This window comes from Homo sapiens, chromosome X (genome assembly GCF_000001405.40).
Source record: "Homo sapiens chromosome X, GRCh38.p14 Primary Assembly".
NCBI classification, from domain to species: Eukaryota; Metazoa; Chordata; class Mammalia; order Primates; family Hominidae; genus Homo; species Homo sapiens.
Genome location: NC_000023.11, coordinates 57642047 through 57668426, shown reverse-complemented (window position 1 = coordinate 57668426; position 26380 = coordinate 57642047). Strand labels below are relative to the sequence as shown.

Genomic DNA, 26380 nt, shown 5'->3' with positions numbered 1-26380 from the left:
ATTGAATACCAAGAAAATACTTTGCCAGATTTTCAATGAAATCAACTGATACTGAAATTTTTGGTTATATAATTTGAATAAACTTCATGGCCCCTCTAAGTCAAATTACTTATGCTAACTCATTAGTTATCAGTGCTATGTACCTAAATTGGAGAAAACACTAGTATTCAAGAGGACATAGTCCAATGTTATGGGGAACAGTTCTCATGGGGAACCAGGATGTCCTCATCTTTTCTAAGTCTTAAAAGCTTTTTTTTATTAAAGGTAATGCATTCCATGACTCACTATGGAAAGATAAAATGATCCAAATTAAATATATTTTGGTGTGCGTACTGATAAATTGCTAAAATAGCTTATAATCAATGTTTACCTTGTCAAATCCATATTTCTGGGTAGATGATCAAAGCTCTGGGTACATTTGACTACCTGATGGGCCATTTGAACATTTCAATTTTCATTTTCACTGCATGTTTTCTGGTTGTATAAAAGCTTTCTCATGCAAGAGCTTTTATGCACAAGTGAGAACCTGACCAGAAAGGGAGAAATTTTTTAAACAAAATTATGAGAGGCCATTGTTTTAGACTGAGCTCATGTGCTAGGCCCCAACAGACCAAACCAAACTGAAATGGAGTCATTCATGCTAAGACATTAAGGAAACACATAGATCTCAGAACAGACCAGGATTTTTCTCCTGCAAATCTCTATAAGAAACATTCCTGACAGCATAGGTATCCACCCCCTGAAGTTTCCCTTAAATATTTTAACCAAATTCATTTCCTGTCACCTAGAGACCATCAAGCTTCAGATGATCATGTGATGAGGGTTACAGCCAGTTCCAAGTAAAGATATCACCCCTGGTTATCAAGAAGCTACCCTGTCTTCACTAGAAAGAGCAGGACAAGAGTTCCATGATCCCCAATAGGTAAGGACTATGCTCCAAGCCAGCATGAAGCAGTTCCAGAATAAAGACCATTGGTCCCTCTTCCTCACATAATTGTAGGCATCATGTCTTTCCAGGGGGAAGATGAGGCAGGATATTAGGGTCTCAAAGCAGGGAACCTAAGGACTTCCTAGAACAAAATCAAATGGAAAACCCCAAACTTTATAAGACCAAGTATATAACTTTGTAACTCTACTTCAGATATGAAAGGAAACATCCTCTTCATTTGCATAGGATGTGCACCAAGTAAATAACTTTGTAACCTTACTTCATCCTCGTCATTTGCATAGGGTGTACACAAAGTGAATAACTTTGTAAATTCACTTCAGCCTCTTCATTTACACAGGGAGTGCACCAAATAACCAGTGGGAAACCTTTAGAGGATATTTAAGCCCCCCAAAATTCCATAACTGGACCCTTGTGGCACTTGTTCAGGCTCACTCCCACTCTGTGGAGTGTGCTTTCATTTTCAATAAATCGCTGCTTTTTTTGCCTCATTCTTTCCTTGCTTTGTTTGTGTGTTTGGCTTAATTCTTTGTTCAAAACAGCAAGAAGCTGAACGTCCTCCATCAGTAACACTATCGGTGCTTGGTACTGGCTTTGGGCTCTTTATAGCTCAAAATGATAAAACAATTTGCTGAGGTCTGGGACCTCCTTTCTCCAAAGATCCCTGAACTTTCAAAATTTTTTAGTTGGGGACTGAGGTTTAATTTGCTGCTAAAAAAATTTCTGTTTTCCTGAGAGTTTCTGCTTGCTTCTGTTGATGAAAATAGTTAAACTCTGTAAAATATTTAAAGAGATTATTTCTGAAACATATATCAGTGACCATGGCCCTCAGGAGGTCCTGGAAACATGTGCCTAATGTGGTCAAATGTATTTTAAAAATACTTTGGTTTAGTCCAGAAATGTGGGACACCTCAAAATGGAAGGAGGAGTGCTTCCAGGTTATAGGTAGATTTAGAAGTTTTCTGGCTGACAACTGTTTGAGTTTATCCAAACACCTGGGATCAACAGAAAAAAATTTCTGGGTTGTTATAAGTGATTGTGGAGACCACAGTTTTATCATGCAGATAAAGCCTCTAGGTAGCATTTTAAAAAGGAGATGAAAAGGAGACAGAGTGAGAAGTTAATATTCCCCTGAAGTCTAGCAATCTCTGGCCAAATTTTTCTCTAAAGTTATGCCATTAAGCTGTCCCTCTGAAGTCAAGCTGCTTCTCTCTGACATCCAGCCATAGTCTCTGATGTCCAGCTGCTTCTCATTTCTCTGCTGGCTGACCCTGAGGTTTTTATAGGTAGAAAATGGGAGGTGAGGTGGGCCATGGGTGGTTTTGGAAAAGGCAAAATTCAAGCAGATGTTAAGTTCTCACTTAGGCCCTGGTTTCAGGCTATTCAGCTGAAAGCTTCTTAAACTAATAAGGACCTTCAGCAAAGTGTCAAAATACAAAATCAATGTGCAAAAATTACAAGTATTACAACAGGAGGCTCTGCCTCCTGTTCATATCACTGATACACTGTGCCAGGTAGCTGCAACATGGGTGGACAAAACAAGTTCAGGGAGTAATGGCCGTAAAAAGCTAGGTCTGCAAGCAGCACACTTTGGGCCCAACACACTCCCTGACTTGGTCAAATCTGAAGGAGAACTCTAAATTATGGAGAACTGGGCCTCTAAGCTAGCTAAAACCCCTGCATCTTGGAAACATAAAGTTCCACTCTTAGAAACTCTGGTAGGATATATGCAAAATACTTCTGGTGAATTGTCATGTAAATATTTAATTAAGTAGACCATTATAACATAACCAAAGCAGATCCTAAGTTATAATGGCCTAGATGAGGATTTTTTTGAGATGCCCAGATAAGTGTACCTGAGAACTAGAATGGAAAATGCTGACACAAAAGCTAAACAAACAAAATGTGAGAACTACTTTCAATGGTACCTATAGAGTAGCAAAAAACGGGGGAGAAAGACCGCCTCATCATCAAGAGGCCAACAAACAACTTAGAAATGCTAACCAATAACTCTCAAATGTTTTATCTCTCTAAAAGAAATCTTCAGAATTTCCTTTTTTTCTAATTTAATTTTTTTTTTTTTAAGTTCCAGGACACAAGTGCAGGATGTGCACTTTTGTTACATAGGTAAATTTGTGCCATGGCGATTTGGTGCACCTATCAACCCATCACCTAGATATTAAGCCCAGCATGCATTAGCTATTTGTCCTGATGTTCTGCCTTCCCCCACCCTCCCAGCAGGCACCAGTGTGTGTCATTCCCTTCCCTGTGTCCATGTGTTCTCATTGTTCAGCTCCCACTTATAAGTGAGAATATGCAGTGTTTGGTTTTCTGCTCCTGTGTTAGCTTGCTGAGGATAATGGCTTCCAGTTCCATGCATGTTTCTGCAAAGGACATGATCTTGTTCCTTTTTATGGCTGCATGGTATTCCGTGGTATTCCATAGTATTCCATGGTGTATATATGAATGGGAGTTAATTCATGGTTTGGCTCTCTGCTTGTCTATTGTTGGTGTATAGGAATACTTGTAATTTTTGCACATTGATTTTGTATCTTGAGACTTTGCTGAAGTTCCTTATTAGTTTAAGAAGCTTTTGGGCTGAGTCAGTGGGATTTTCTAGATATAGGATTAGGTCATCTGCATCTGCATATGTACCACATTTTTTTTACCAGTCTATTGATTGGCATTTGTGTTGATTCTATGTCTTTGCTATTGTGAATAGTGTTGCAATGAACATACATGTGCATGTATTTTCACAATTGAATGATTTATATTCCTTTGGGTATATACCCAGTAATAGGACTGCTAGGTTAAATGGTATTTCTGGTTTTAGGTCTTTAAGAAAGCACCACACTATCTTCCACACTGGCTAAACTAATTTACATTCCCACCAACCGGGTAAAAGCATTTCGATATCGCCACAGCCTCACCAGCATCGGTTTTTTTTTGGCTTTTTGACAATGGCCATTCTGACTGGCATGACATGGTATCTCATCATGGTTTTGATTTGCATTTCTCTAATGATCAGTGAGGTTGAGCTTTTTATAATATGTTTCTTGAATGCATAAATGTGTTGTTCTGAGAAGGGTCTGTTCATGACCTTTGCCTACTTTTTGATGGGGTTGTATTTTCCTTGTAAATTTGTTTAGGTTTCTTGTAGACTCTGGATATTAGACCTTTGCCAGATGGATAGATTGCAAAATTTTTTTCCCATTCTGTAGGCTTTCTCTTTGCTCTGATGATAGTTCCTTTTGCTGTGCAGGAGCTCTTTAGTTTAATTAGATTCCATTTGTCAATTTTTGCTTTTGTTGCAATTGCTTTTGACATTTTCATCATAAAATACGTGGCTGTACCTATTTCCTGAATGGTATTGCCTCGATTTTCTTCTAGGGTTTTTATAGTTTTGGTTTGTAAGTTTAAGTCTTTGATTTATCTTGAGTTAATTTTTGTATAAGATGTAAGGAAGGGGTCCAGTTTCAATTTTCTGCATATGGCTAGCCAGTTTTCCCAGCCCTATTTATTAACTAAGAAATCATTTTCTTGTTGCTTGTTTCTGTCAGGTTTGTTGAAGATCAGATGGTCGTAGATGTGTGGTCTTATTTCTGAGATCTCTATTCTGTTCCATTGGCCTACGTTTCTGGTTTTGTACCAGTACCATGCTGTTTTGGTTACTCTAACCGGGTAGTATAGTTTGAAGTCAAGTAGTGTGATGCCTCCAGCTTTGTTCTTTTTGGTTAAGATTGTTTTGGCTATACAGGCTCTCTTTTGGTTCCATATAAATTTTAAATTAATTTGTTTCTGATCCTATGAAGAATGTCAATGTTAGTTTAATGAGATTACCATTGAATCTATAAACTACTTTGGACAGTATGTCCATTTGCATGATATTGATTCTTCCTATCCATGAGCATAAAATGTTTGGTTTGTGTCCTCTCTGATTTCCTTGAGTAGTGGTTTGTAGGTCTCCTTGAAGAGGTTTTTCACTTTCCTTGTTATCTGTATTTGTATCTTATTTTCTTTGTGGCAATTCTGAATGGGACTTGATTCATGATATAGCTCTCTGCTGGTCTATTGTTGGTGTATAGGAATACTTGTAATTTTTGCACATTGATTTTGTATCCTGAGACTTTGCTGAAGTTCCTTATTAGTTTAAGAAGGATTTGGGCTGGGTTGATGGGATTGTCTAGATACAGGATTATGTCATCTGCAAAAAGAGAAAATTTTACTTTCTTTCTTCCTATTTGAATACTATTTATTTCCTTCTCTTGCCTGATTGCCCTGGCCAGAATTTTCAATACCATTTTAAATAGGAGTGGTGAGAGAGGGGATCCTTGTCTTGTGCTAGTTTTCAAAGGCAATGCTTCCAGCTTTTGCACATTCAGTATGATACTGGCTATTGGTTTGTCATAAATGGCTCTTATTATTTTGAAATATGTTCCATCAATACTTAGTTTATTGAGAGTTTTTAACATGAAGGGATGTTGAATTTTTTATCAAATGTTTTTTCTACATCTATTGAGATAATCATGTAATTTTAGACTTCAGTTCTGTTTATGTGATGAATTACATTCATTGATTTGTGTATGTTGCACCAGCTTGCATCCCACAGAAGAAGCCGACTGGATTGTGGTGGATAAGCTCTTTGATTTGCTGCTGGATTTGGTTTGCCTGCATTTTATTGAAGATTTTTGAATCAATGTCCATCATGCATAATGGCCTGAAGTATCCTTTATTCGTTATATCTCTGCCAGGTTCTGGTATCAGGATAATGCTGGCCTCATAAAATGAGTTAGGAAAGATTCCCTCCTTTTCAACTGTTTGAAATAGTTTTAGAGGAAATGGTACCAGTTCCTCTTTGTACCTCTGGTAGAATTCAGTTGTAAATTTGTCTGCTCCTGGGCCTCTTTTTGTTGTTGTTGTTGGTAGGCTACTCATTACTGCCTCCATTTTAGAACTTGTTATTGGTCTATTCAGGGATTCAAATTCTTTCTGCTTCAGTCTTGGGGGGTGTATGTGTCCAGGAATTTATCCATTTCTTCTAGATTTTCTAATTTATTTGCATAGAGCTGTTTATAGTATTTTCTGATTGTTGTTTGTATTTCTGTGAGGTCAGTGGGGATATCTTTTTTATTATGTTTTATTGTGTCTATTTGAAAATTCTCAGAATTTCTTACTTCCCATTTGGTGCCCCCCACACCTCCACCTCCACCCTCACTTTACTCTGATCTTTCTGAACTTCCTTGACCAGATCTCTTTTCTCTTTCTCCTGCTTGTTCCAAGCTACCATCTTTCCCTCTGTCTGCCACTCACTCAACAGAAGTCAGAAGAGAGACTAACTTCCAAGACTCTACCTCCTGCCTATTCCCTGATATCCCTGCTGGCAACTTCTCATCTGGAAGATGAAGGAAAGGGGGACCCTGCAAGAACATCTTATATGATTATTCTTTTTCAGGAACAACTGGTGCAGGTAAGGAAACCTCATTGATTGTCTATCAACCCTGGTCTCATTACCAGAACCTGTGACCTATGTCATTCAGACCTTTAGCAGCTGTTCTGCATTTTGGTCTCAGAATTAATACTAAGAAACAGCTAGAAAAAGCACACCAGTCAAGCCCTATAGCTCACTTAGTCCCTGAAGGCCCAATAGTGCCACAATAACCAGCCCCCAAACATCCAGAAGACAAGCACAAAGATACATGGAAATGAGTGACTGCTCTGTTAAATATCATTCTATCATTATTCTAAAGAGTTGTGGGTTGGAATAAAATCCAGTAATGTTGCCAGAACCCAAGTGAATCAGCTTTAGTTTATTGTACACATTTTAATAAAACTTTGAGACAATATTGTGGGATGTCAACTGATTGCTTTGAAAATAATAAAAATGATACATTATTAAACACAAGTTTCTTAAACAGATTAGAAGACAATTTAGCTAGCCTTGTAAAATGCCATATGACAAAGTGGGGCACAACCAGAACTAATGAACTAGTTAACTTAGCTGACCAATTATCTCGTACTATGATAAAAAAGGAAAACCAAAAGACTGTTTGAATCATGCATTTACAGTTAAAGCAATTAACTTCTCTAACCTCTCAGCCTCAAAAAAATATTAAGCCCTCTTAATCTGAGGACTCTTCCTTTCCAGTCTGTTACTGCTGTACCTCAGAAGGGACTGCCTGAGACTGAAATGGAAGCAACAGCAGGAAGGTGCAACTCAGGAAGACTAGGGGTGCTCTGAGAAAGTTAAAGGGTTTCATCTCTGCAAATATTCTACCCTGACAAATTGAGAGAGATTAATATAATAAACCATGAGTGTTCATCTGCCTTAATTGACATGGGAGCAACTATAACTTTTATAAATCGTACCTTATTTAGAAACCCCATTTCACAGAGTGATAAAAGGTTTAACATGGTTGATGTGTCTGATCAAACTATCTCATGTTTTAAGTCCATATCTATAACTTACACTTTAATTGGATTGAGCTTTCCCCTTGAAGGCTCTAAATGTGACACACTTAGTTTGTCCCATGTGTTTCTAATAAACTGTGGGACCTTCATCAATGTTCTGGGCTATGATATCCTCAAGATCCATAATGCCCATATCTCTTTTTCATCAAACGATAAACTTTTTTTAAGAATTCGAGACAGGAGATAAAAAATTCCAAATTAAAAAACATCCAGATAATGTACCAGGATTTAGTACTAATGATGTTAAAACACTACCTTGTGACTGGGAATATGAAATAGAAACAGAAAATAAAATATTACAGGAGAAGAGAGAACATTGGAATAAAGGGCAGAGAATGGTAAATTTATTTTAGCCTCCCCAATCTTTCTGTTAACTTCAGAAGCAGAGCATTTGCTTAAGAGTATACCATCCCAGTCAAATACAGACATAAAGAAAATATTCTCAAGCACACCAATAAAGGTTGAGATACACTCTAATAAACCACTACCCAACTGTAAACAATATCCTCTGTGACAGAAAGCCATAGATGGAATTGCCCCATCATACAATATTAACTCAAAAGGGGGCTCATTATTCTTTGTACTTGTCCCTGAAAAAGCCCTATATTCTCTGTAAAACAAAAACAAAACAAGTGGGAGAGGATGATAATTCATACAGGACTTGAGGGCAGTAAACAATATCATAATACCCAGACACCCAGTAGTCCCCAATCCTCATACCCTTCTATCAGCTGTACTGACTGCCAGCCAACATTTCTGTTATGGATCTCTGCAATGCCTCCTTTAGAATTCCTGTAGATCCAGAGAGCCAATATTTGCTTGCCTTTACCTGGAAAGAATGACAATATACGTGGACTGTAAATCCCCAAGGGTATGCAGAAAATACCACTTATTTTTCTCAAATATTAAAGGCTGATTTACAGGATTTATTTTTTTTCCCCAGGGTGCAACAGTCATCCAGCATGTGGATGACCTTCTCACTTGTTCAGACACATATCTACTTTTCAGGAAGATATCTAGATTTACTCAAACAGCCACCGAGAGATACAAAGCGTCTAAAGACAGACTTCAGCTATGCCTGCCACAAGTTAAGTATTTGGGGCATATTATCTCAGTGAAAGGACTTAGTATTAACCCTGATAGAGTGAAAGAAATTTAATGTTTTCCAATACCTATTACTGAAAAACAACTTAGAGAATTTTTGGAACTGGCTGGCTACTGCAGGAATTAGATTCTGCATTTCTCTCTTATGGCTCAACCTTTGTATGCATACCTATAAAAATGAACAATCTGACTCCATCATGTGGACTCCAGAGAGACAATCAACTGTACAACAATTAAAGAAAACCCTTCTAAAGTTTCATCATATTCAAAGCCTGTCTGCCAGCTAGCTGGCCTCTTATAAAGTTTCATTTTTCATCTCCAAATATTACCATTTCCTTCTGTAACAATCTTAATCTGGGCACTCTCTTGCTGGGCCCTTTTGACAAAACCTCTCATGACTGTGTTCTTATGACTGCCCAACTTCCTACCCCAAAGACAGACCTACAGGAGATGCTACTGGATAAAGCTGTGATAGGTTGGGTATCTATCTATAAATGGGTCTTATTTAAGAGAAGAGCATGGAAATTTTAGAACAGGATATGCTACGGTTTTCTTACTAGAGGTAATTCAAAGCCAGTCATCTTTCCTAAGCGAGATCAGCTCAAATTACCAAATTGACAGCCCTGACCTGAGCTTGTCAATTGGCAAAAGACAAGGCTGAGAACATATCCACTGACTGTCGCTATGCATTTGGGGTTGCTCATGACAATCAGATGCTATGGAAGAAGAGGGAATATTTAACCTAAAGAAAACCCATTAAAAAAAAAAACAGAAAACAAGTATCAGTATCAGAGCTGTTAGGAACTATTCTAAACCCAGACTTTTGGCAATTCTAAAAATCCCAGGTCACTCTAAATTGGACATCACTGAAAGTTGGGGTAACCAATTTACTGAAGCTAACCTGAAAGAGCAGCATTCGAGCCACCAGTCTCAATCTGGGAAATGGCCATAAAATCGAAAGCAGTTAAGAACATGTTGAAGGAAACTCAAAGCATTGCCCCAACTAAAGAGATATCTACTTGGAAACAGAAGGAAGCCTATCTTCTGAAACTGAAATATGGTGTAGACCTAATAATAATCCCATTACTCCAATGGGATGTCAAATGCCCCTTATGGAATATGTTCATAATCTGACCCATTGGAATCCATATAAAATGATATTCTGGTGTAAACAATATTACTGAAAACTGAAACTGAAATACAGTATAGACCTAATAATAACCACATTATTCCAATGGGATGTCAAGTGCCCCTTATGAAATATGTTCATAATCTGACCCTTTGGAATCCATATAAAATTATATCCTGGTGTAAACAATATTACTGAAAACCATCCTCTATGACAGCACAAAATGTTTACTCCCAATGTGTTAGTTTTCCCAGATATAACCCATGGAATTTCCTCCATGGGGCCCAGGGTCATTTTCCTCTTCCAGCTGACCTTTTGAGGTATGGCAGCTTGATTTTACTCAGCTGACATTATCTCAGGGTTACAGATATGTTTTAGTAATGGTCTGCATATTTTCCCATCAGGTTGAAGATTTTCCCTGCAGGCAAGCAACAATAATGACAGTTAGAAAATTCTATTAGAAAAAAGTTATTCCATTATGGGGAGTCCTCTGTAAACTTCACAGTGTTACTGTGAAGTTTTACGGGCAAGATTATTCAAAATATTTGTAAAATTGGGTCCGTATTTTAACACTTTCATTGTGCCTTTATCCCAGTCCTCATGGCTGGTGGAAAGGACCAATGGAATAATTAAAACACAACTGGCTAAGTTCATAGAGGCATTTCACCTCCCCTGGCCCAAAGCACTCCCTGCGGTGCTGCTTATATTCCAATCCACCCCTTTTAGAAAACATCAGCGATCCTCTTATGAAATTATAAGGGGAAGGCCTTTGTGTATGGGAAGCAAAATAACCAACCCAACTTTTTAAAATGGAGGTATATATATTGCAATATTGTAAGGGAGTCATTCATCATAGTTTTTTAAAAAGCCAAGATTTGGCTTATTTGAATTTGTCAATTCCTTTCACAGTTGACTATCTGAAGACAGGGTACCTGGTCATAATCAGTAGCATGGAGACCTTGGCTTTTAGAAAAAAAACATTTAATAAAGGACTCCCTTCAACCCCAATGGAAGGGCCCATACCAGACACTATTGACTAATCCATGTGCCACGAAAATAGTGGGTATAGGCTCATGGAATCACTGCTCTCATCTTAAAAAGGCTAAATCTCCTGAGTGGACTGTAACTTTCAGCAAAGATCTTCAACTCCAATTTACTAAACACTGATATTCTATCCAGGATGAGAATCAAATGACATGTTGTGGACTGCTTAAATCCAAGACACAGGACCGGGCCTATATACAAAAGAACATCTATGGTTATAGTATAATAGCCATTACAATTATTGTCCAAGAGATATTGGCAATTGCTATCTTATGCAAAATGGCACTTGCCTTTTCTTATTTAATATCCTTTTAGTAGTTAAAAAGAATTTCAAAACCTTGCTTCTACTTATCTTATGTTTCTATGCATTCTTGCCACTGCTACCCACTGTTGTCCATAAAAGAAACCTGTTTCTACAATGGGATCAGAATTATGCAGACAGATTACAAAAGGATGCCTGCTGGATATGTGGACTCATGACTCTTTCCAGTAGATCTAGCCTGCTATGGTGGGCATCTCCTTTTCAAGGTGAGGACTGGATAAAATACCATAAAGTTATTATATCACAGAAATGGTCTGGTATCCTTAGTGGCTAATATAAGAAAAGATGGTGTATATAATTGCCCATTCAAAACATTCTTAAGAGCAAGGCCTATGGAAAAAGTTTCTCAACAGAAAGGTTAAGTTCACTAACTCTAACTTTAGCAACACTGCTAGCAAAAAGAGAAGGAAATAACCATGCTGCACCTCAAACAATGGCCCATTTTCAAAATGGCATAATGAAACTTTGGAATCGGTTCATCTGGCTCACCCCTTCATTTGGCAAACTCGGCCAAAATGCTTCTTTATGCTGGGGAACAAAGAAACTACACCAAGGGCCAATTGCCAAAACACTTCAAGAGATATGGGGTGAATACCTGGAGAACTTTGTTATCTCATTATTATATTATAATACACTGACTGGCATGCCACTGATTGGGTACAGCAGCCAGGTATTTATTAGCTATTTCCAAATGGGACATTTTGGCTATGTGACACTAACCTATGGCCGTGGTTATTGCCAAGATGGTTCAGACAATGTTCTCTAGTTTATGCTTGGGCACAAGGACAAGTAATTCAGTCTCTGCCAAAACCAACAAACCTTTTTCATTTACAATCTCACTGCACATGATCTGTATTTCAATGGTATTGATGCAGAGTTTTTGCTGCTTAGTTCAGCTAAATTGAGGTTCTTTTATCATGATGAGGAAAAATTAGTCACATGGACACATTGAAGGATGAGGAGAGCAGAATTTATTGGGTAAAAAGGAAAAAAAAGAAAAATTCTCAGCAAAGTGAAAGTCCTGCCAATAGGCTCCCACTTCACATATTAAACACCAGACCACCACACATGAGCTGAAGAGGTCAGGCTGCTCCCCACTGCACAAAGCATGAACTTCCCATGATTCTACCCCATCCTCCCAGTGCACAGATTGGTCCCCAGTCCATTGCAGGCATGCACAGAGAAAACTACAGGCAGGTTCCCTCATCTGCACAAAAGCGTATGATACAAACACTGGTGGAGTGGATTGGAGATTCTCCAGTGACCTCCCTTCTCTGCCTCTTGTGTCTATTATTCCCCCTCTAAATAAGTACATCTAAGTGCCATTAGAATAAGGATAATGATGCGGATGAAAACCAATCTTAACTGCTTTCTGCTGACAGAGGGTGCTGCTTTTGAAAAACAGCAGTCCAATCTGCCTCCAAGGCCTATCTAAGGGTCTCTGGCAAAAGGGGCCATAATTCAAGGCTCCAGTTGCATGACCATTTGGAGTTTGATGGCCTAAAGGTGAGAACAGACAAACGAGGTTATTAGAAAACATGTATTTAAATGAAACTTTAAAAGGGGGGGCAGTAAGGACAGCTCAAAAATCCTGAGGCCTTTACTGGTTTGCACAGAGAGAGGGAGGCCAAAAGCCCAACTGGTAAAAAAATTTTTAGCCTTTTGCTGGCATGTCAGGCTTCTGGTTTCCCTTCCCCTGAGCCCAATCCTAAGCCAACCAGTTTAAGGTCTGGAAAATTAACTTTTCCCAGCTTGAAGGATGTATCCAAAGGGAGTGTCCCACAGTACAGAGACACACTTACCTATCAGTGAAGAGAGGACGGAGGAGGAAAAAAAAAAAAAGAAAGAAAAAAAGAAGCCATTTTTCAAAGGAGCCCCAGGGGTTCAGGATGCATTTGAAGGAGGTACAGACTAAAGATGAATGGCTACTCATTTAGAAAGAAGGAAGCAAAGTGTCCCAGTTTCCCTTCTCTTCCTAGTGAATATCCAGCATATGTGAGTGAGAGAAAGTGAGGTGTTTTTCTGTCTTCTTGTTCTTACATCCCCAATTCCCGGTGACCATGACAGGGTTCTGGCCATGTGTGTTAAAGCAGCTTTCACCCATGTTAACAGGGGTGCCTAGGGGTTGGGCATATTCACTCTTACCCATGTACGTCCTATATACCCTGCTGTCAGATGCCTTCAAATTTGCTAGACCTCATTTATGCTGTGGATACTACCATGACCTTTATCCATGAAACAAGAAACTTGAGTTAATCAGCAGGAATCAGTCATGCTCACCTGCACTCTGCCTTTTAACTTCCATTATTGTCTGCCTCTAGATTCCTCAGATCCAGCTTTCTTTTCTAGGACTTTGACCTGAAGCTTAGAATTCAGTTTAGGACAAAAAAAAATGTGTCTCATGGGGGCTTTCATGGGCTCCTTATTATAAGCCAACTGCTAAGGTGAAGCTGCAGAATTTCTCCAATTAGAAAGAGAAAAGAATGTTTTGTGGCATGCCCAGATAACTTGTGGCTATAGTTATACTTGCCAAGATTTGGGTGCATGGTGCTTGGGTTTGGTTAGCTCCCTTGGTTTTACTTACCCAATAAGGAAACCTCCAGGTGATAGGCATCCTATTTATTTCCATCACCTGGCAGGATCTGCAGATAATTGCTCAGAACTAGAATATTAATCCATATTTTTACATTACCCATCCTTTTTTCTTCCTTTTGAGCTGTAGCCAGAGATTGCTGGTTGGTTTACATAAATAAGCAAGGTTAGTCTAAAATGTAGGAAAAAACTTAAAAACAACTAATGAGTCTAGGCTTTAATGACAAATGTATGACAAATTTTGAAACATAAGTTCTCTTTCTCCAGTCCTCATTTTCATTAAAAACAAATCGTGATAGGACTGAGTTGTTTGCAAAACAGGATTTAGTCTTATACTTGGCCTGATTATTTGCATAAAGTGCAGCAAGAATAATTATTTTTACATAGGACTTTTAGGTTGACTTTGATAACACTTTGCTCCACCTGGAATCTCAGATAGGACTTTCTAAAGCCCAGCCCAGCCATGGGTTTGTACCTTCAAGTACCTGTGAGTTGAGTAAACTCCTCTGTTTTTGAGGCCCCGAGAACATGATGTTCCTGGGCCTGTTAGAAAATAACATTCTTTACTCGCTGCAGATTAGGAACCCTGTACAAGGACAGTATAGACAAGATATGAGGCCAGTTTTCCCAAGGAGTTTTTGTCAGCTCTGCAAGTCAAGCTTGATTCCTTAAAGGGAAGCATACCCTTCCAGTCAAAGCCTTGGTAAAACAGCCAGTTTCTCCAATTGCATCCTGTTGAAGAAGAAAACAGACTCTTAATGCACGGAGGCAAACAACTATATTGCCATAAGTTAAAATACTCACAATTAGTTTCCAGATTCTGGAGAAGCCAGGAAGAATGAGAGAGACAAATATACTTAAAATTTTATTCACAGAAGTATACGTTACTGAATTATTAAATGCTGTAAGTAGCTAAAAATTTGACTCTGAAAAACAAAACAAGAATCAATAATGTTCCAAGAAAAAGTTCAAAAAATTATTTCAGTTGTCTATTCATTCAGTCCATTCAGTTAACTGTTGTTTTCCTTGATATTTGTGAACATTTTAGCTCTTCATGAGTCCTGTACATTTTTTCTTTATTCCAATGTTACAATCTCCAAAGTTCTTAGCAACCTACATTTGAGAGCACCTGTCAAAGATTCTTTTTGTTTGTTTGTTTGTTTTTTGAGACAGAGTCTCACTCTGTCAACCAGGCTGGAGTGCAGCGGTACAATCTTGGCTCACTGCAACTTCCACGTCCTGGGTTCAAGTGGTTCTCCTGCTTCAGCTTCCCTGATAGCTGGGTCTACAAGAACGCACCACCATGCCCAGTTAATTTTTGTATTTTTTTAGTAGAGATGGGATTTCACCATGTTTGCCAGGCTGTTCTCAAACACCTGACATCAAGTGATCTGCCTGACTCAGCCTCCCAAAGTGCTGGGATTACAGGTGTGAGCAACCATGACTGGTCAAAATTTCTATAGTTGATTATAAACCATATTTTGAAAAGGATTAACACAAGACAACAATTGTCCATGAATACAGTCAGAAACATGATTGACAGAGAAATTTTATTATCTCCTTGGTTTACAATAACTTAACATAACCTTGATTGTGATTGATAGCATATACTCAGACATTAGAATTTTAGACATTCCAAACAATTTTAGAGCATATATTAATATTATTCCCTAAAATATAACCTGAAGATTAAACATTATTTTGGCAATCCCAGATACCTAGACATGTTAACTAATCCTGTTTACCTTCCTTCTGGATGCTCCAGGGGCCCTCTGTAGCATCCAAAAGCCAGGCATCACGAAAGACAATTTTTAAACTGAAGTTTGATTTTTAGAAACCTGTTAAATGTTGGAGATTTAAAACACTTGATGTTATGAAATGGAATTACAGATTACCATAAATTATTTATTTTGCCAAAATGATGACTCAGACATTTAAAAAGGCAAAAACCTTTTATAAACTTTTAAAAATATCACTGAAGAACAGATTAATGCCTTAAGTACCTTGTTGTGCTTTTATTTCAATGATCAATTTACAAAAAAAAACCCCACTTAATACCCTTTTGAATTTAGCCAATATGTTCAGATGAAGAATTTCTTTTGCAAGTATAATTTTTACAATCCTTCCACAACTTGTTTGAACTTTTAGCTTTACTTATCTAATTTAAAACAATCTCTTAATCCTAGGCAAAAATTTACATTTTGACTACATTTGCACTTTACCAGTAATTTTTAAGGCTTTTTTTTTTTTTAATCAAAGAATAAAGTCACATGAACTAAAAGGTACAACAGCTTTTATCTTCTCTTTTGAAAATATTTGATGCAAGTGCTTATTTCTTGAAGTTAATTAATCAGAGATCTTTTTTTATAGACATTACACACACAACACTTATATAACTACACGGTGAGGCAGAAAAGAATCCAGTAGCTATAAGAGTTTTCATTTGCCAAACTCCTAATTGGATTATTGGCCTTTGGGTGGAGCCCTTTAAGGGCAAGACCAGGAAATCCTATGGTTTCTATGGTATAATAAATAGGTATAGCTGGAAGACAAAAACAGATTTTGAAAGGGATTTATCTGCCTTTAATTCCTGGGGCTCCATAAGGAAAACAGAGGTCTCTTCCCTCTCAGGCTTGTATTAAGAGTGGCAAGGCAAAATGGAGAAAAATAATTCAGTCAACTGAGTAAAAGCCTTTTTCCAAAAAAACAAGATCCAAGAAGAGAAAAACATAAAGGTCTATTAATTAGGCCTATAACTTGGATATTAATTTTTAATTAAGCTGAGTGCTCTTTAAGAAAATCCTTTTAAATCCCTTGTTACCCCCACTTTAGCTGTGCCAAGCAGCCAATATTTCTGTCTTTCAAACTTTACTAAAAGCTCAGAAAAAGGACTATTCAAGGTGGTTCATGGAGGGGCAGAGAATCAACAAATGGCAAAGGTCACACAGATTTCAAACCAGAAAGAACTCATTCCCTATGCCAGGATTGAACCTGGGCCACCATTGTAAAATTATGGAGGCTAAAACAAAGCACTGCTATGTGCTTACAGATCACACTCCCAAGAATGTAAAACAAGATGGAAGCCCTTAGTAAAGTCTGCTACTGACCATATAGAAAGACATGCAAAGCACACCGGATTGGCTACAGCTTAAGACAAACCTCACAAATATTTTTTCATAAATAAAACCTTACAGAGAAAATAAACAGTGATAGTTGGGGTTGTGGCTTGGTAAAATGTTTGCTAAAAGTAAAACAAAACTATTGCTTAAAAGTTAACTCTTGATCTGATGGAGAAAAGAAAAATAGCTTAAACTGCACAGTTGTGCTGTAACTGCTGACAGGGTACAGAAAAGGGACAAAAAAAGCTTAAAATGCAGAGTTGGAAAGACGCCTGGGGAAAGAACCTCTTATTCTTATGCAAATAGATTCCTCCAATGGGGAGAGAAGCTTAATTGCTGTCAGATAGAGCTGGACCCCCTGACTGGGGGAGGGGAAGACTCTACGGATGTATGCGGGGAACTCTGGCCAGCCTGCCATGTAGGGCCCAGGGCAGTGGCTCATTCCCACCTTTCATGACCATTGGATGCCACACACACATGCAGCTGACATGGCCTTGTGCCCCAGCTGGGAGAGAAGAGGGGTGGGGATCTGCCATTTGCCTGTCCATTCCACACACATTTCTGTGGCTGTTGAGATGGGATTGTACTCAGTTTCCTCTACCCTCAGAAGTCTAAAGAAAAAAAGTCTCAAGAATGAGAGGGAAGAGGATTTTTTGGTTCACATCTTACCCTTTCTCATGTCCCCATATGGGCCACCAAAATGATGCAGAATTTTTGCTCCTTAGTTTAGCTAAACCCAGGTTCTTTTGTCACAACCAGGAAAAATTAGGCACATGAACACATTGAAGGATGAGGAGAGCAGAATTTATTGGGAGAAAATGAAAAAAAAAGAAACAGTAAATCTAGAGGAAGTCCTGCCAATGAGTTCCCACCTCACTAATTGAATACCAGGCCACCACTCATGAGCTGAAGAGGCCAGGATCCAACCCCTTGGCCAAGGCACAAACTTCCATGGCTCTACCCCATTGTCCCAGTGCACAGGTGGATCTCCAGTCTGTTGTGGGCATGCACAGACAAGACGCTGGGCAGTTTCCCTTATCTTCACAAAAGCATCTAATGTAAACTCTTGTGAGGTGGGTCAAAGATTCTCCAGTTCCCCACTTATCTGCCTCCTGCATCTATCATTATGATCGTTTAGCTTCAGTCTTCATACCACAAATAGATATTGAAGATGTTATATGGCATATATGGCATTAACAAATGATACACAAAAGGTATACACAAAATGATATCCACATGAGTATCACTTTGCTAAACAATGAGGTCTCACTCATGAGGAAAGCAGTGCTGCAAAATTTTATGGCCTTAGATATACTCACTGGAGCCCAAAAGAGAACCTGCACCATCATAAAAGCCAAATGTGTTTATTTTTAGGAGATCATGTCTTCTAAATTTGTATCTGATTGTTTTCTCTGCCCTATTGTCTACACTATTTTATGTTAAAAGGTAGATTCACTGAGCCAGACAAAGGCATAAATGACTATCTTCCCCTACTTCCCCTCACAAAAAAAAATGTGTATTTCTCAATATTCCACCCTTTCCCCTTTAAATTTGAAACCCTCAAAATCATCTTGGGAGAAAGGTATAGACCTGTGTCCCAGGCGTGCATCCTTAACTTTGGTAAATAAACCTTCTAAAATGATGGAGATTTGCCTTGGTCATTTCCCTTGACTGATAGGAGACACCTTGTTTATCCTTGGTTAAGTCATAATCTTAAGGATTACTGGTTTTGGTGATTAAGCCTTAATCAAGATAATGGGAGTGTACCTTTGGTAAAAAGAAGTTCAAAAGCTAAAAATATCAGCTGTTTGTTACAGCTAAAATCTAAGCGTAAAAAATTTCAAAAGATGTACTTTTTTAAACAATAAAGCTCTATGGTCAGAAGTTAGCTTCATTAAAACCTGATATTAAAGCTATTCCTTCCTCTTTTCTGTCTTCAGTACAACATAAAAGTGTTACAGGTAGTTAGGTCTGAGCAGTGCAGGAAAGGGCTCTCCCCCCACCCACTAGAAATGTTGGGTGATGGTACAACAATTATTGCATTGCCTCTATAAAAAATGATAATTTGGTAGTGCCAGGGAGAAACCATTTCCTGATGGTCCACACCTGTTAACAACAAAATGTTAATTGAATGGAGACCCCAGGAGAAGCAACTTCCTGGGCATGCATGTTAAGAGACAAAAATGATGAAGTATTATCTTCTGGGGGTATATTCCATCAGTAAAGGGAAGAAAGCCTCAGTTGGTGATGCTTATAACTTCCTAAACACACTCTCCAGGCTCAATTCCAAAGGGTAAGGAAAGCACTGAGCATGTGAAAAGCCCAACCTAAGGAAAGAATCTTGGGAAAGAGGTGAACTTATTAAAGTTCTAGGATCACGGTTAAATGAGGAACTTGACCTTCTCTCTTTAACCTTCATGTTCCCACTTGGGTTTCTTCCAAGTGCACCTTCCTCTTTTTCTTGTTCCAAGGTCTTTTTAAATAAACTTGCATTTCTGCTCTGGAACTTGTCTCCATCTCATTTTCTGCTTTATGCTCCTCAGTTGAATTCTTCTGAGGATGCACGGACTGAAGTTGCTATGGACCCATAAGGATAGGCCACTGGTAACTCGGGGTGACTCAGATCTCCTCCACCAGTAACAAAAGTATCTAGAGTGGACTTCTAATTACTCAGACCCCTTAAAAACACAGAAAAAGGCACTACTCACATACTTTTTCAGTCTTCCCTGTTGCTCTAGGGTATTAAAAGGTTTTCATGCTCTAGTCATGGAAACGTTCCTCTCAGGTCTAATACTCTGCTCTTTTTTGTATTCTGTTACATGATATATTTGGCTCTTGGTGGTACTGGAGGTTACTTTATACCATGAGAGAACACCTGACCTTTGTGTGTGTGATGGCTGGTGAGTTGATGTTGAGAGTTGCAGTTTTGGAGGTGGCTTACAGCAGTTGTTTATGGTGGATATTTATTATTACAGGGGACTACTCCTATCTTTATGTGTTAGGTTGAGGACTAAACTTTGACATATTTTCTTCTCTTGCCCAAATTTCCTCTATCTAATGGGTGTGGGGAGTTATGCCATACAAATCATAAAGTCCCACCAGAGGGCTTTTATTTATCCCTATATAACATGACTTACTTTCCAACCTGACACTGGCATAACATCACATGACATATATATATATATATATACACACACACACACACATACACACACACATACATATACATATATCATGACATATATATATACACACACACACACACACACACATACATATACATATATCATGACATATATATATATACACACATATATATGTATATATTAACCCAAAATATGTTTATTTGCCATATCTTGAAATAGCCCTGCCAAGTTGTCTCTCATGGGGAAAAATCTACATTCTGTAGAGATTCCTCTTTCCTTTTTTCAGTACTTCTTCCTGATCTAAGAATCAACTAAGAGTCTGACACCTTTTTAAGTTTGATAAGAAACATTTACAATCTATTTTCTCTGAAGCCTGCTACCTAAAGGCTTCATCTGGACAAGAACCTTGGTCTCCACAATCCCTTATCTTAACCCAGACATTGTCTTTCTATTAATTCCAAGTCTTTAGACAAATTTTTTCAACTAGTTGCCAATCAGAAAATCTTTGAATCTGCCTATAACCTGGAGACCCCTACTTCCAGTTGTCCTGCCTTGTCAGACTGAATCAATGTACCTCTTACATATATTGACTGATGTCTCATGGCCCCCTAAAATGCATAAAACCAAGTTGTTGCCTGGCCACCTTGGGCACATATTCTCAGGGTTTACCTAGGGCTGTATCATGGGCCATGTTCACTCATGTTTGACTCAGAATATACCTCTTGAGATGTTTTACAGAGTTTGACTCTTTTCACCAAAAAGTGAAGAAAGGCATAGTTTAAAAACTTAGAAAAATATTTTGTAGTGAGGTGTGTTGTGAAAGTTTGGCCTAATCTCATGGCACTTTTTTCCTTTGGGGGACCCAGGATTCAAAGTAAAAAGTGGGATCCTTGATTTTTAAAAATCTAGATTCTCTGCTTTCCAGTTGTACCTTCTCCTCAAACAATTAAATATTAGGCCCTGAAAACTGCAAATATTTTATTTATCCTGTTCTTTAAAGGCCTCCACCCAGAAGTATGTAATCTATTCAAGAAGCAAGCTAAGCTGAAAAGACCACAATTTAACTGTACTGGTCTCTAAAATATGACTTTCTGACATTAAGCTGTTATTTTGAAACTCTTTCTAAAAGAAGTTTACATCTACAGAGGAAATCTTCATTTGGAAGAGCATCTCCCTGCTCCCAAGCCACTGGAAACTACTTTTACAACAGGGAAGACATTGGCTTAAAGTTTACCTGACTAATTGTACCTTTAAGATGCTTGGCCAGCACTCTTGTCTTGACTAAGCCTACACCTATCCCTTTGTCTCAGCAAATAATGTTGTTTAGATTTAAGATCAGTGCCTTTGAGATGTAAATTTTCACTTAAGGATCATCCTTTTAGAGGTGCAAATTTAGAGTTGCCTAGTTAACCATTGTTTAAAACTTGATAGTCAAAGGGGGGAGAGAAATTATTTACACACTGGGAAGTGAAGAACCTTATAATGCTAAATAATCTGCTTCTGTGTGTCTGTATGCCTATACATTTATATATTACCCTTGTAAGTGTGTTTTACTGCACAAATATATAAAAGAGCTCTACTTAATTGCTTAAAGAAAAATTAAATGCCTAAATCAAATACTTGATCAGAAAAGTAGAAAGTAACTCAAATGTCTTTTAGTTCTCATGACTTGGGTAATTAACTAGACAACACTAGTTAATATTTTTGGTTTAATAAAAACAGCTGTGACTTATGAACAGCAAAACACTTAAGTACCCTTGACTTCTTGCTTAAATGGCTACAGCCTAACATTTATACAATGTAAATGGTTAACAGGAAAATAACTAAAGATGATGGCTAGCTTTGTTCAATATCTTATAAAATTCTATGAACAGTTCAAACATGATTGAATGAAATAAATTAGGCATAAATGTTTCATAAAATGTTGGTATGTGGTGAATTTTTTAAATTACTTACATTCTAGGTTTACACAAAAGCTAAGGTTACTGAAATTTTAAACTACATATGTTAAAATTCTAATTAATATGTAATTAAAACTACCAAATTAAAGAAAATAATTTTTTAAAACAATGTTGTGGGTACGTAGTAGGTATACATTTTTATGGTTTACATGAGATATTTTGACACAAGCATGCAATACTTAATAATTACATCAGAATAAATGTGGTATCCATCCACTCAAGCATTTATCCTTTGTGTTACAAACAATCCAATTATATTGTTTTAGTTATTTTAGAAATGTTCAATTAAATTATTTTTGACCATCAACATCTTGCTGTGTAAGAAGATACCAAGTCTTATTCATTCTTTCTTTTTTTTATTCACTAACCATCCCACTTTCCTCTCATCCCTCTACTACCCTTTTCAGCCTCTATTAACCACCCTCTGCTCTCTATCTCCATGAGTTAAATTTCTTTAATACTTAGCTCCCATAGTGAGAATATGTGATATTTGTCTTTCTGTACCTGGCTTATTTCATTTAATATAATGACATCCACTTCCATCCGAGTTATCGCAAGTGAAAGAATGTCATTCTTTTTATGACTTGCTAGCACTCCAATGTGTATATGTACATTTTCTTTATCCGTCTGTTGAAGAACACTTAGATTGCTTTCAAATTTTGCTATCGTGTAGTGCTGTAATAAACATTAAAAGTAGATATCTCTTCAATATACTAATTTTCTTTCATTTGGGTATATGGCTAGATCATATGGCAGCTCTAGTTATAGTTTTCTGAGGAACCGCCAAGTTTTTCTCCCTAGTAGCTATACTAATGTACATTCCCACCAACAGTGTACAAGGGTTCCATTTTCTCCACATTCTTTCAGCATTTGTTATTGCCTGACTTTTGAATGAAAGATATTTTTACTGGGGTGAGATGAGGTCTTATTATAGTTTTGATATATATTTATTTGATGATCAATGATGTTGAGCACCTTTTCACATATCTGTTCACCATTTGCATGTCTTTTTTTTGGAGAAATGTCTGTACAAATGTTTGGCCCATTTTTATTTTTATTTTTTACCAGATTATTATATTTTTTTCCTATACAGTTGTTTGAACCTCTTATATATTCGGGCTATTAATCTCTTGTCATATGGGTAGTGTTCAAAAGTTTTCTCTCATTCTATTGGTTGTCTCTTCACTTTGTTGTTTTCCTTTCTGTGCAACAGTTTTTTAACTTAATGTTATCCATTTGTCCATATTTGCTTTGGTTGCCTGTGCTTGTGTGGTATTACTCAGGAAATCTTTGCCCAGTCCAATGTCCTGGAGAGTTTCCCCAATGTTTTCTTTTAGTAGCTTCATAGTTTGAGGTCTTGGATTTAAATCCTTATTTCATTTTGATTTGATTTTGTGTATGGTGAGAGATAGGGGTCTAGTTTCATTCTTTTGCATATGGCTATCCAGTTTTCTCAACACTATCAATTAAACTGACTGTTCTTTTCACAATGTATTTTCATGGCAACATTGTCAAAAATGTGTTCACTGCCAATGTATGAATTTACTTCTACATTCTCTATTCTATTCCATTGTCTATGTGTCTGTTTTTATGATAATACCATGCTGTGTTAGTTACCATAGCTCTGTATTATTGTCCCATTGAGCTTGGAAGTATTTCTTACTGCCCTATTTTTTGACTTAGTTTGAGTAAAATTAGTATTAGTTTTTTTTTGTTTTGTTTTGTTTTTTTAATGTTTGGTAGAATTCAGCAGTGAAGCCATTGAGTCCCTGGCTTTTATTTCCTCCCCCCCCCCCCCCCCCGGAGACTTTTTATTAGGACTTCAGTCTTATTACTCTTTATTGGTCTGTTCAGGTTTTGGACTTACTCATGATTCAATCTGGATAGGTTGTATGTGTCTGGGAATTTATACATTTCTTCTAGATTTTCTAATTTATTGGCATATACTTGCTCATAGTAGCCACTAATCATTCTTTGAAGTAACAGTTGTAATGTCTCCTTTTTCATCTCTAATTTGGTTTATTTGATCTTTTTCTATTTTTCTTAGTCTAGCTAAAGTTCTGTCAATTTTTAATTTTTTCAAAAAATCAACTTTTTAATCCATTGATTTTTGTATAGTTTTTAAATTTCAATTTTTATTTATTCTGGTCTGATCTTTATTATTTCTTTTCTCCTACTAATTTTTGGTATGGTTTGTTCTTACTGTTTTACTTTTCAAAGATGCATCATTATGTTGTTTATTTGAATTTGTTGTTGTTGTTGTTTTTATGTAGGAACATATAGCTATAAACTTGCCTCTTAGGAATGCTTTTTCTGCGTCACATAGATTTGGGTATGCTGTGTTTCTATTATATATTTCACAAAATTTTTCAATTTCCTTCTTAATTTTCTCATTGACTCACTGGTCATTCAGGAGCACCTTGTTTAATTTCCTTGTGTTCATACAATTTCCAAAATTTCTCTCATATTTGATTTCTAGTTTTATTCCACTGTGGCCAGAGAAGATGCTTGATGTTATTTAAATTTTTTAAATGTTTTAAGACTTAAATGTTTTGTGACCTAACTTGTGTTTTAAATGTTTTGTGACCTCACCTATGATCTATGCTTGAGAATGATACATGTACTGAGGAAAAGAATGTGTACTTTGCAGTCTTTAGATAAAATGTTCTGTAAATATCTATTAGGTCCATTTGTTCTATAGTGCAGACTGAATCATTGTTGACTTTCTGTCTGGAAGATGTGCTCAATGCTGAAAGTGGAGTGTTGAAATCTCCAACTGTTATTGTGTTAAGATCTGGCTCTCTCTTTAGATCTAATAATATTTGCTTTATATAACTATGTGCTCCAGCGTTGGGTGCATATATATTTTAAATAGTTATATATTTTAAATAGATCTCTTTATTATTATATAGTAACCTTATTTTTATCTTCTTATAGTTTTGTCTTGAAATCTATTTTTTTCTGATATAAGTATAGCTACTCCTGCTTTTTTTGTTTGTTTGTTTTCATTGGCATGGAGTATCTTTTTCCATCCCTTTATATTTAGTTTATGTGTCTATTTACAGATGAAGTGCATATTTTATGAGCAACAAATCATTAAGTCTTATTTTTTTAATTATTCAGCCACTCTATGTCTTTTGGTTGAAAATTTTATTCTAATTACATTCAAAGTTTTTATTGATAAGTAAGGACTTACTCCTGCCATTTTGTTATCTTTTTTCTTGTTGTTTTGTGGTTTCTCTTTATTCTTTCCTTCCTTCCTATCTTCCTTTTAGTGATGGTAATTTACTCTGGTGGTGTAATTTAATTTCTTACTTTTAGTTTTTGTTTATCTGTTGTATGCTTTTGATTTGAGATTATCATGAGACTCAGAGATACTATCTTATAATCTTTTAAAAAATTTTTATAATCTATTATTTTAAGCTGATATCAACTTAACACTTTTTGCAAAAGCAACAAAATAAACCAGCAAAAAGAAAACTAATAAAAACTCTACATCTTTAACAACATTTCCCTGATGTAAACCTTTCTGTTGCTTTTATTTACATCTCATTGTACTATCTCTTCAAAAGTTGTTGTAGTTATTATTTTTGTTCGATTCGTCTTCTAGTGTTTCTACTAAAGAGTAGTTTACACACCACAGATACAGTATTATAGCAAATTGTTTTTTTCTGTATACTTACTATTATCAGTGAGTTTTGTACCTTCAAATTATTTCTTATTGCTCACTAATGTGCGTTTCTTTCTGATTGAAGTACTCTCTTTAGCATTTTTTAAGGACAGGCCTTGTATTGATGAAATTCCTCAACTTTTGTTTGTCTGGGAAAGTTTTATTTCTCGTTCATGTTTAAAGGGTATTCTTTTGTAAGATATACTATTATAGAGTAAAAGTTTTGTTTGTTTGTGTGTTTTGAAGAAAGGCCTCACTCCAATTTCCCAGGCTGGAGTGCAATGGTACAATCATGGCTCACTACAGCCTCAAACTCCCAGGCTCAGGTGATTCTCCATCTCAGCTACCTGAGTAGGTGAAACTACAAGCACTTGCCACCACCCCTGGCTACTTTTTAATATTTTCTGTAGGGATGGGGTTTAGCCATCTTGCTTAGGGTGGTCTTGAACTCCTGAAATCAAGCAATCTGCCCACTTCAGCCTCCCAAATGTTGGGATTACAGACATTAGCCACCACACCTGGCAGGGTAAAAATTGTTTTGTTTTCTTTTGTTTTGTTTTTTTCCTTCAGCACATTAAATATGTCATGCCACTCTCTCCATGCCTATGAGATTTCCAGTGAAAACTTTGCTGCCAGATGTATTAGAGATCCATTTTATGTTATTTATTTCTTTTTTTTTTTTTTCTATTTTTGGTATTATTTCTTTATCCTTGACCTTTGGGAGTGTGACTATTAAAGTCTTTGAGATAGACTTCTTTGGGTTAAATCTGCTTGAGATTCTATGATCTTCTTGTACTTAGATATTGATAGGTTTCTCTATGTTTAGGAGAAGTTCTCTGATGTTATTCCTTTTGAATAAACTTTTTCAAACCTATCTCT

The 26380-nt window shown here is 36.9% G+C and overlaps 1 long non-coding RNA gene across 2 annotated transcripts, besides 2 other annotated features; it reads left to right on the top strand.

Moving 5' to 3' along the window:
* Positions 1-476: 476 nt before the first annotated feature.
* LOC107985708 (uncharacterized) lies at positions 477-9996 on the top strand. 2 transcript variants are annotated; one of them, XR_001755858.2, is made up of 4 exons: positions 477-922; positions 5542-5668; positions 6227-6413; positions 8358-9996. It is a non-coding gene; the product is annotated as an uncharacterized LOC107985708 (long non-coding RNA). The 2 variants fall into 2 exon arrangements; XR_001755859.2 differs by lacking the exon at positions 5542-5668.
* Positions 16814-17315: an enhancer, noted in NCBI's record as "NANOG hESC enhancer chrX:57677545-57678046 (GRCh37/hg19 assembly coordinates)". NCBI's record gives its function as "activates a minimal SCP1, AML or CMV promoter by ChIP-STARR-seq in primed H9 embryonic stem cells {active_cell/tissue: H9 hESC(primed)}" and the evidence as "EXISTENCE:reporter gene assay evidence [ECO:0000049][PMID:30033119]".
* Positions 20883-21603: an enhancer, noted in NCBI's record as "OCT4-NANOG hESC enhancer chrX:57673257-57673977 (GRCh37/hg19 assembly coordinates)". NCBI's record gives its function as "activates a minimal SCP1, AML or CMV promoter by ChIP-STARR-seq in naive H9 embryonic stem cells {active_cell/tissue: H9 hESC(naive)}" and the evidence as "EXISTENCE:reporter gene assay evidence [ECO:0000049][PMID:30033119]".